Source organism: Homo sapiens, chromosome 1 (genome assembly GCF_000001405.40).
Source record: "Homo sapiens chromosome 1, GRCh38.p14 Primary Assembly".
Classification (NCBI taxonomy): Eukaryota; Metazoa; Chordata; class Mammalia; order Primates; family Hominidae; genus Homo; species Homo sapiens.
The window spans coordinates 23,948,018-23,959,132 of NC_000001.11; the positions used below are offsets into that span (position 1 = coordinate 23,948,018).

Genomic DNA, 11,115 nt, shown 5'->3' on the forward strand with positions numbered 1-11,115 from the left:
CTTTTCTTTTCCTAGTTCCTTAAGTTGTAAAATTAAGTTGTTGATCTGAGATATTTCTTGTTTTTTAATATAAGCGCTTACAGCTATAAATTTTCCTATGAGCACTATTTTCATTGCATCCTATAAGTTTTGATATGTTGTCATTTCATTTTCATTTGTCTCTAAGTACTTAAAAAATTTTTTATGTATTTTAATAGAAAACTTACAGGAACAGCACAGAAGACAGACAATGTTAAACATATGTACTTGCATGTAGGACAACTCGGGTAGAAAATATAGTGAATGGATGGAATCCACTATATGACAAAAATGCTACAAACACCATTTAGTTGCCATCAATAAGAAATGTACTTCTTTTAGGCCGGGCGCGGTGGCTCACGCCTGTAATCCCAGCACTTTGGGAGGCCGAGACAGGTGGATCGCGCGGTCAGGAGATCGAGACCATCCTGGCTAACACGGTGAAACCCCCTCTCTACTAAAAATACAAAAAATTAGCTGGGCGTGGTGGCAGGCGCCTGTAGTCCCGGCTACTCGGGAGGCTGAGGCAGGAGAGTGGCGTGAACCCGGGAGGCGGAGCTTGCAGTGAGCCAAGATTGCGCCACTGCACTCCAGCCTGGGTGACAGAGCAAGACTCCGTCTCCAAAAAAAAAAAAATGTACTTGTTTTAAAAAAACCCAAATGCTGACATTGTCCAGAAAAATTTAACAGGTTTATTTGCAATTATTGTAAAGTTGAACCACTGAAACTTGTTCACTGAAACATTTTAACTTGCATTAATGCTTTATGTTTCTGCATTCATATTAAAAATTCACACACAAACGAAAATGGAAAAACTGCCAATACCTGATTTCTGTCCCCTATTTTTCCACTCGCAATCATATACTAGGTACCTTTTGACCCCATGGGAAAAAAATATCTAATGTTCAGAACTACCAATAACAGGAAGAAGAGAATTTTTTTTTTTTGAGAATGAAATGATTCCCATCATAGTGGATTCTTAAGCACGTTCTCCACGTATGCGGCGTGCTAGCTGCATGTCTTTTGGCATAATTGTTACACGTTTGGCATGGATAGCACACAGGTTGTTGTCTTCAAAAAGGCCAACCAGATAATCCTCACCTGCCTCCTGCAAAGTACCGACAGCTGAGCTCTGAAAGCGCAGATCTGTTTTAAAGTGCTAAGCGATTTCTCGCACCAGACCCTAGAAGGGAAGTTTGCGAATCAGAAGTTCAGTGGACTTCTGATAATGTCTAATATCACCGAGTGTCACAGTACCAGGCCTGTAACGATGAGGTTTCTTCACCCCTCCAGTAGAGGGCGCACTTTTGCGAGCGGCTTTCGTAGCCAGTTGCTTCCTGGGTTCTTTACTGCTTTGTACGAGTCATGGTACAGAGACCTCCTTACTTACCCCCCTTCTCCTTCGGCTGGAGCTCGGTGAGTGAGAGGTGGCGCTGGCCTTGGAGAGTGACAGTGGAGCGGCGGCGGCTGTGAACACAATTAAAAAAAATTTTTGTTTTTAATTTATTTAATTTTTTTAGATAGTCTCACTCTGTCACCCAGGATGGAGTGCAGTGGTGCAATCTCGGCTCACTGCAACCTCCACCTCCTGGGTCCAAGCAGTTCTCCTGCCTCAGCCTCCCGAGTAGCTGGGATTACAGGTGCACGCCACCAGGCCTGGCTAATTTTTGTATTTTTAGTAGAGACCGGGTTTCACCATGTTGGCCAAGCTGGTCTTGAACTCCTGATCTCAAGTGATCCACCTACCTCGGCCTCCCAAAGTTCTGGGATTACAGGCATGAGCTACCACGCCTGCCCTGTTTTTTGTTTTTGTTTTTTTTAAAAAGCAGGGTCTCACTCTGTTGCTCAGGCTGGAGAGCAGTGGCACAATCTTAGCTCACTGAAACCTTTGCCTCCTGGTTTCAAGTGATTTTTTTTTCCTGCCTCAGCCTCCAGAGTGGCTGGAATTACAGGTGCGCACCACCACGCCCGGCTAATTTTTGTATTTTTAGTAGAGACGGGGTTTCACCATGTTGGCCAGGGTGGTCTCGAACTCCTGACCTCAAGTCATCCACCTGCCTTGGCCTCCTAGATTTCTGGGATTACAGGTGTGAGCCACCATGTCTGGCCTTAACTATAGTTAAGGGTTGTAATCAGGGAGGAAGAAGGGCAGAAGACGGTAAGAAAGTTCCTACTTGACTAGAACTCTTGTGACATTTCCCTGGCCTGACAGATAGCTAAAGCTGCCTCTTTCTCTCATGGCACTTGTTCTTCAGCAAATTCTCTTCATGAGCTCTCTCGGCTGCAATTCCTTCACAGTGGGCAATGCTTCTCCTTAGGCTGATTGCTCCCTCAGCTTCTGCCTCTTAGTACAATATCTTGCTGTAAGACTGCCATTGCAGGGGCCACACTTGTGGGCTTTGAAAATAACTCTAGCCAGGCAGGTGGCTCACACCTGAAATCCCAGCACTTTGGGAGGCTGAGGCAGGCAGATCACTTGAGCCCAGGAGGCAGAGGTTGCAGTGAGCCGAGATCGCACCATTGCACTCCAGCCTGGGTAATAGGAGTGAAACCCTGTCTCACAAACAAACAAACAAACAATCAATCAAAGAAACAAAACACATGAGGATCTATAAATACTCTAGTTTTTTTTTCTTATTTTTTTCTAATCGGCAATGAGAATATACGTGCAATTTTACTGGCCAATGATAGCATGGAACCAGAAGGGTGGCTACCTCCCATTTAGAGCATACTGTATTCCGAGCGCTTCCTAGCAATATGGACCCTGAAGACTAGATCGGTGTAGCAGAGTGGCTAAGAGCAGGTTTTGGCATCAGGCTGACCCAGGTTCAAGTTCGAGGTATGTGACTTTGGGCAAATGACTTAGCCTACCTCTTTGAATCTCAGTTTACTCATCCATTTAATGAGGCAGTACTACTAGTGACCTCAGTAGGTTGTGATGAGAATTAAATAAGAATGCGTATCAATTGTTTAGGACAGGCCGATTCAATGGCTCATGCCTGTAATCCCAGCACTTTGAGGGGCTGAGGCAGGTGGATCACTAGAGCCTAGGAGTTCAAGACCAGCCTGGGCAACATGACGAAACCCTGTCTCTACAGAAAATACAAAAATTAGCCGGGCACGGTGGCATACACCTGTTGTCCCAGCTACTCGGGAGGCTGAGGCAGGAGGATTGCTTGAGCCCAGGAGGTTAATGCTGCAGTGAGCCGTGATCTCACCACTGCACTCCAACCTGGGTGACAGAGTGAGATCCTATTTAAAAAAAAAAAATTTTTTTTTTAAATTGCTTAGGACAGTGTACCTTGCTCATAGTAGAGTGCTCGATACTTATTGTTATTATTTAATGTGCAACACATTTGTAATATGCAAAGTATCATACCTTTGAATTGCATAAGTAACAGTTAAAACAAAACAAAATAAAGATATAACAGTCAAAGGCAAGGAGATGGTATAAATATTCAATCACGGTGAACTGGAATCAAGAGATCAGACTGAACTTGAGCAAGTTACTTCACCTCCTTTTGCCTTGGAAACTGTGGGCGAATGGCGACTCCTTTGTTGCCTGCTCTACCCAAGAGTGGAAGTCATGCCACGGTGTCACCTAGCAGTTTAATCATGTGTTAAGACTATGTCAATCTGTTCTTTTTTTTTTCTGCTGTGGCAAAATCCAGGCTCTCGGGCCATGGAAGCTTGACTCATAGTCTCTTTCCAAACCCAAGCCATCAGCCAGAGAACAAACACTGGCTTGCCTGACTCAGTGGAAATTCCAGACGTTTGTAGCTCATTAACTGCCAAATTGACAGCTATGGAGGCTGTGACGAATAAGTGGACCTCATTAGCTCCATGTTCCCCAGAAAAAGCTGTCCCACAGGCATACTTTGTACAAAGGCCATACGTAACACGTGATCTTTAAAAAAACCTTTTAAAATTCTTTTGACTATTTCCTGTCAAAAGAAATTCACCGCCAGGCGAGGTGGCTCATGCCTATAATCCCAACACTTTAGGAGGCCGAGGTGGGTGGGTCACCTGAGGTCAGGAGATCAAGACCAGCCCGACTAACATGGTGAAATCCTGTCTCTACTAAATACAAAAAATATGCTGGGCGTCATGGCACATGCCTGTAATCCCAGCTACTTGGGAGGCTGAGGCAGGAGAATCGCTTGAACCCAGGAGGTAGAGGTTGCAGTGAGCCGAGATTGTGCCATTGCACTCCAGCCTGGGCAACAAGAGTGAAACTCCGTCTCAAAAAAACAAAGAAATTCACCAACGTAAATTCACCAACTCCTCTTACAGATCCAATGTCAGGAAAGCAGCTATAAACAATAAGGACAGCGAACAGTATCCTCAAAGCCAGAAGCCTGGGACTGACTTTTAGCCTGATGGTGGGGGCATACACGGATACATAATTTCTGGAAAGTATTTGGTAATATGTATCAAAAGTCTTACCTGTATATTTACCTTGTGACCTAGTACTTTCACCCCTAAGAATTTATTTAAAGGAAATTTATTTACAGAAATGAAGATTTATTTATAGGGACATCCAACTCAGCATATAATAGCAAAAAATTGGAAATAACAGTGGAGAATAGTAAATTAATCAAAGATGGTCATAACATAAAATATGGCTAACAATGAATGTATATATACATGGAAACATGCTCACAATATCCTGAGTTTAAAAAGTGAAAAAAGGGGCGGGCGTGGTGGCTCACACCTGTAATCCCAGCACTTTGGGAGGCCAAGGTGGGTGGATCACATGAGGCCCAGGCGTTCAAGACCAGCCTGGCCAATATGGAGAAACGTCGTCTCTACTAAAAATACAAAAATTAGCTGGGCGTGGTGGCACATGCCTGTAATCCTAGCTACTCAGGAGGCTGAGGCAGGACAATCACTTGAACCTGAGAAGTGGAGGTTGCAGTGAGTTGAGATCATGCCACTGTACTCCAGTCTGGGCAACAGAGCTAGACTCTGCCTCAAAAAAAAAAAAAAAAAAAAAAAAAAAGTGAAAAAAGGTAACAATAGAATATATACCACTTTTCATCTTTGTAAAAAGGAAAAAAAAAGCTCAGTAACTAAGGGCTTTCTATGTGGCAGGCACTGTTCTAAGTACTGCAGAGATGTTGACTTACTTAATCATTACACAAATGTTAGGTATTGTTATTATCCCCAGTTCACAGATGGGGAAACTACAGCACGGAGAAGTTAAACAACCTGCCAAAGTCAGTCATATGCTAGAAAGCCACAGAGCTAAGGTGTGATGCTGAGCAGGTTTTGGTGTCTATGCCCCCACCACGACTCACACTGTCTCCTGGTATAGAAAAAAGACTGGAAGGACATACTTTCCAAGCGTTCACAATGCTTACTTCTGGGAAGTGAGATGTTGAGTGAATTCTACTTATTTTTTATCTGCCTTTTCTATAGTTAATGTGTTATTAATGAGACAAAACTCCAAAGAAAATGTTTAAAATACAAGACCTTTGTTGCAGAGGTGAACGAGTCTCTCTCAACCTCAGTTTCTTTATCTTTAGAGCAGCAACTGTGCCTACCTTATAAAGCTCATGGTAGGATTGAATGAAATAAAGCGAAAGCACTTGGATGACGTAGATTTAGAATATGTTAAAAAGATGTGTAGAAGATGTTAAAAATGCTAGGGGCTATTAAAATACAAAGTAGAGGCGGGGCGCGGTGGCGCTGAGCCTCAGTTTTTCACCTGTGAAAATGCTGACAGGACCGGGTGCGGTGGCTCACGCCTGCAATCCCAGCACTTTGGGAGGCCAAGGCAGGCGGATCACTTGAAGTTAGGAGTTCAAGACCAGCCTGGCCAACATGGTGAAACCCCATCTCTATTAAAAATACAAAAATTAGGCCAGGCACAGTGGCTCATGCCTGTAATCCCAGCACTTTGGGAGGCTGAGGCAGGCGGATCACTTGAGGTCAGGAGTTCAAGACCAGCCTGGCCAGCGTGGTAAAACCCTGTCTCTACCAAAAATCTAAAAAGTTAGCCAGGCGTGGTGGTACACACCTGTAATCCCAGCTACTTGGGAGGCTGAGGCAGGAGAATCGCTTGAGTCTGAGAGGTGGATGAGCTGAGATTGTGCCACTGCACTCCAGCCTGGGCCACAGAGTGAGACTCTGTCTCAAAATAAATAAATAAATAAATAAATAAATAAAAATTAGCAGGGTGTAATGGCAGGCGTCTGTAATCCCAGCTACTCGGGAGGCTGAGGCAGGAGAATCGCTTGAACCCAGGAGGCAGAGGTTGCAGTGAGCCGAGATTGCGCCACTGCACTCCAGCTTGGGTGACAGAACAAGACTCCATCTCAAAAAAAAAAAACAAAAAAACACAAACAAACACAAATAAAACGTAGAAAGTGATAAAGCAAGCATGTTTTACAGGAATCCAGAGAATACTGTCAACCAAACACTGTGTGGGAGCTTCAGTGGTTTCATGTCTCCTTTGATTCTCTTTAGAGCCTCCCATTATTTCTGAGCTGGGGATGGTGTGTCTCTTCCTCATGCCACAGGTGTGAATAGTTGGGGGACAGGCATTGTTATGGTCTTACATGTAAATAGATGGCTCCGATATACCATTATTTTGGGGGGAGTGAGCACGGTGTGTTCCAGATTTCCTCTTCCTATCAATGCAGGTAGCAGTCTCAGCCTGTTTCATAAATTCCTCTCAAGATCGCTGCCCATCTCTCCGTTCAGCCATTGGAGAGATCGCTGCCCGTCTCTCCGTTCAGCTTTGGCCTGGGGACTGAGGCCAAAACTCTGGAATGGGCCAAGAATTAGACGGCTGGGATCAACAAACTAGCAAGGAACCCCATGGCCGAGCTTGGGAGTCCACCTGTGTGAAAATCACTTTTAAAAGCTAATCTAAACAACTCTGGGTGTTCCGGAGCTAGTTTCTGACTTGTTGGGGTTATTTGGTGTTATCACCAACTTTGAGAATTACATAGGACAAAGGGGGTCTCCTTCATAAACATGCCTCCACACCAGGGGATTGCCCTTAGCAAAACTGAAAGCAGTGATTCTCAACTGGAGTGAGACATTGGAATCAACTGGATTGGAATAGCCGCAGCCCCGTGCTCAAAGATTCTGATTCTGGGATGGGGTCTGGGCATCAGAATCCTTTAAGGGTCTTGAAGGTTGGACCCCTGGATCAGCGTCGACAGGAGGCGTGGGAGTTCATCATTGACTTCCTGTGCCCCGTTTAGTAATTAGACCAAAATGGCTGCAATGGTTAAGAACAGATTTGACACTTCTCAGGAATGTCTGAGCAAGCAGGGAGGCAGCAGATGCTTCCCCAGGAAATGAATTCATGGTGTGGGGAGGGGTGTGTGTTTTGCAATCAGTTTGGCAACAAGATCAGAGCTCTGAGGCACATCGAAACAGTGGGCAGGTGTTCCATTTCACTCTTCTGGCAGGTTCTAAGAATTTGCTTGCTTCTTCAAACTGAATTAAGCCCTGAGCGGACAGACCTGCAAAAACATTCAAAGTTGACCATCTGATTTCATATATGAGCTTAAAGAAGAAAAAGAACCAAACCAGCTTTTGTTTTGAAATGGACTCGCTAGGGCGGGGGTGGAGTTGGGGGATAATATTAAAGTACCTAACGTTTTTAGCATGTTCTGTTTATTTTTGAGACAGGGTCTTGCTCTGTTGCCCAGGCTGGAGTATAGTGGTGTGATCATGGCTCACTGCAGTCTCGACATCCTGGGCTCAAGGAATTCTCCCACTTCCGCCTCTCAAGTAGCTGGGACCACAGGGGCACACCACCTCCCACTCCCAGCTAATTTCTGTAATTTTTGTAGAGATGGGGTTTCACCATGTTGCCCAGGCTGGTCCTGAACTCCTGGGCTCAAGTGATCCTCCCGCCTCTGCCTCCCAAAGTGTTGGAATTACAGGTGTATTCTAAATCTACATCATAAAAGTGCTTTTACATTTATTATTTCATTGGCTCCTACCATGAGCTCTACAAGACAGGGAGGATTGCCATTCTACAGATGAAGAAACTGAGACTCAGCCTGAAGGCCAGTCGATTCTACTATATACTTATTCCAAAGCCATGGCAAACCTGGGTGATTTCTCCAACTACCCCGGCACTGGTGCAGTTGTATGCCTCAGCCTACAACCTGTCTCTCCCCCAAAGCTGGGCTTTCAGAAACACTTTCTTTTTTTTTTTTTTGAGACAGAGTTCTGCTGTTGTTGCCCAAACTGGAGTGCAATGGCGCGATCTCGGCTCACTGCAACCTCTGCCTCCCGGGGTCAAGCGATTCTCCTGCCTCAGCCTCCCAAGTAGCTGGGATTACAGGCATGCGCCACACGTCCAGCTAATTTTTTGTATTTTTAGTAGAAACAGTGTTTCACCAAGTTAGCCAGGCTGGTCTCGAACTCCTGACCTCACGTGATCTGCCCACCTCGGCCTCCCAAAGTGTTGGGACTACAGGCGTGAGCCACTGTGCCCGGCCCAGAAACACTTGCTTTTTGCTCCACCTCTACTTACAGATTAGGTAGATAATGTTTTCCTAATGATTTCATTGATTTTGGTTGCCACTGATACATAGCTCAAAACAGATCCTCCAGTGAAAAAATTTCAGCAAGTTGTGAGAGTCCCCCTCCTTTTCTACTTTATTTGCAGGGTCCAGTAACAATGTTTGTTACCTGCACCTCCTGAGTGAGGTTAGCAGGCTGATTTTGGCCTTGCCTGTCCTTGACTCTCAGGGGAAGAAGGGAGGGAATAAATCTTCCCAGACACTAGTTTCCCTCTCTGGTAAATTGTAAAGGAAACAGCTTTTGGGTTCCTTTAGGGCCAGGATGGAGCCTCCTTCACTGCTGTATCCCCAGAGCGTGGCATAGTGCCTGGCACAAAGTAGGCACCAGATAAATCTTTGCTAAATATTTTGTATTAAACATCCATGTATTTATTATGCATTTGGCTTCCAGTTTAGGTGAGCTGTATCCTGAGAGCTGTTTGTCGGCATCAACATTTTCCTATTTGAATTGAGAACTGCTAATAGGATTGTGCTGGTGGAGCTGAGTTTAAAGACCATATGGTTCTGGCAGAGGCTGTATCAGATGTCCCAAAAAAGGTATTATTTTAACTTCTCCTCTCTAGTTCTGAGCTGTTGCGGGCACTTGGTAAATACTAATGAATGATGAGGCTGGAGCTAGCCTGAGAGGGTGCTGGGAGTCTGGGACGCAGTAAAAGCTTTAACAGTGCTTTCCCCAAGGGCATCTCGACTCTGACCTTCTGGCAAAGAAACTGGTTCTGCCAGATGGTAGGATGGAGGCTTCTTGTTGCCCGAACAGCCCCGGCAGCCCAGTCAACAGTCAGTGTCTGCTCTGAGCAAAAAACCTTTTAGGTGCTGGAGAGCACAGATGCTGCAGGCAACCTGCAGCCTGGCCTCTTGAATCCTAGTACCTGGCTTTCAACTCGAAACCGTCTGAGCCTTCATCTGTACAGTGCGGATGAAAACAGCTCCTACCTCACAACATTATTGTGAGGATTAAATGAAATGATGTAAGAAAAAAAAATTTAGCACAGGGTAGGGGGCAGAGTAAGGATACTCTGTGTGGGTTTATACATTTCCAATGTTATGTGTGCGTTTATGCAGATAAAATTCAGAGTGGCTGAAGAGATGAATTTTTTTTTTTTTTTTTTGAGACAGTGTCTTACTCTCACCCAGGAGTGCAGTGTTGTGATCGCAGCTCACTGCAGCCTCTACTTCCTGGGCTCGGGTGATTCTCCCACCTTAGTCTCTCAGGTAGCTGGGACTACAGGCGTGTGCCACCATGCCCAGCTAATTGTTATTTGTAGAGATGGGGTTTTGCCATGTTGCCCAGGCTGGTCTCAAACTCCCGCGCTCAAGTGATCCTCCTGCCTCGGCCTCCCAAATTGCTGAGATTACAGGTGTGAGCCATGCCCTGCCATGAAAAGACTAACTCTAGACTGCAATGGCTTTGAATAATTTTCTAAACGTTTAGAGTTTAGATTTTATTCCGTATCACAATTTGGAGCCACGGAAGTGTTTTTTTGTTTGTTTTTTGTTTTTTAAAGTGACACCATTAAAAATTCATTAAATACAGCTGGCTATTATCTGGCTAGACGTCTAAGCAAACTTCTTGAATGTTTGGAAAACAGATTACACTTTCACTAAGACACCTGTTGGTTTACCACATACTTCTTATTTGAATATGATTAGCATCAGAAAGTCCCTATGCTCAAAAATACCTCTTTTATCAAATTAGATTAACAAACTGCATCCCGTAAGATGCAGTAACTTTTCTTAAGATCCAATGGCTAGAATATAGGAATTTGGGTTGGATTGGGAAGTGGGGGATAACGGTGGCAAAAAATTGAAGATTAAAAAACGAAATACAGGCCGGGTGTGGTGGCTCACGCCTGTAATCCCAGCACTTTGAGTGGCTGAGACGGGCGGATCACGTGAGGTTAGGAGTTTGAGACCAGCCTGGCCAACATGATGAAATCCTGTCTCTACTAAAAATACAAAAATTAGGAGGGTGTGGTGGCAGGCGCCTGTAATCCCAACTACTCAGGAGGCTGAGGCAGGAGAATCGCTTGAGCCCAGGAGGCGGAGGTTGCAGTGAGCCGAGATTGTGCCACTGCACTCCAGCCTGGGCGACAGAAGGAGACTCCGTCTCAAAAATAACGAATTACATGAGATTTATAAAAAGTTGGTAAATATAAATTCTGTAACGTAAACTTGGGTATATATGTGTATACACGAACAAACTGTGAATGAGACTGATTTTGTACCGTTTGGCCCAGAATTATTCACGCTCATTGAAATTAGTGCTCTTTTAAAAGATTCACATTGGGTTACTTATACATTTACTCCAAAGAAATTGCCATTTTCCCCTTACCTGCATCTGGCTGGCATAATCAACTGAACAATATTCTCTTTCTTCCCCTTTTTCACTTACAAGTGGGGCAGAAAGGGGAGGAGAGCAGTCCTCATTCTTTCAGCAAACTTACTGTGCACTTACAACGCGCGAAGGCGCTGTGCTCAGAGAAACAAAACCTAACCGGTTGTGGCCCTCGAGGGTGTGTGGGTGGGGAGAGCTGCAGCCACA

At 44.8% G+C, this 11,115-nt stretch overlaps 1 long non-coding RNA gene and 1 pseudogene across 1 annotated transcript, besides 4 other annotated features; both read right to left on the reverse strand.

Annotated features, from left to right (window-relative positions):
- Nucleotides 1-791: 791 nt before the first annotated feature.
- LOC124903877 (uncharacterized) lies at nt 792-10,097 on the reverse strand. Its single transcript, XR_007065541.1, has 4 exons — nt 10,085-10,097; nt 8,499-8,501; nt 5,053-5,059; nt 792-868 (listed from the first exon to the last, which is right to left on the reverse strand). It is a non-coding gene; the product is annotated as an uncharacterized LOC124903877 (long non-coding RNA).
- H3P1 (H3 histone pseudogene 1) lies at nt 999-1,366 on the reverse strand (annotated as a pseudogene).
- Nucleotides 1,425-1,645: a silencer, noted in NCBI's record as "fragment chr1:24275932-24276152 (GRCh37/hg19 assembly coordinates)". NCBI's record gives its function as "represses an EF-1alpha promoter that drives an FKBP-Casp9 reporter gene in an ReSE screen in K562 erythroleukemia cells {active_cell/tissue: K562}" and the evidence as "EXISTENCE:reporter gene assay evidence [ECO:0000049][PMID:32094911]".
- Nucleotides 10,041-10,669: an enhancer, noted in NCBI's record as "H3K4me1 hESC enhancer chr1:24284548-24285176 (GRCh37/hg19 assembly coordinates)". NCBI's record gives its function as "activates a minimal SCP1, AML or CMV promoter by ChIP-STARR-seq in naive H9 embryonic stem cells {active_cell/tissue: H9 hESC(naive)}" and the evidence as "EXISTENCE:reporter gene assay evidence [ECO:0000049][PMID:30033119]".
- Nucleotides 10,848-10,907: an enhancer, noted in NCBI's record as "active region_385". NCBI's record gives its function as "activates an Ori minimal core promoter by ATAC-STARR-seq in GM12878 lymphoblastoid cells {active_cell/tissue: GM12878}" and the evidence as "EXISTENCE:reporter gene assay evidence [ECO:0000049][PMID:35858748]".
- Nucleotides 10,988-11,087: a silencer, noted in NCBI's record as "silent region_429". NCBI's record gives its function as "represses an Ori minimal core promoter by ATAC-STARR-seq in GM12878 lymphoblastoid cells {active_cell/tissue: GM12878}" and the evidence as "EXISTENCE:reporter gene assay evidence [ECO:0000049][PMID:35858748]".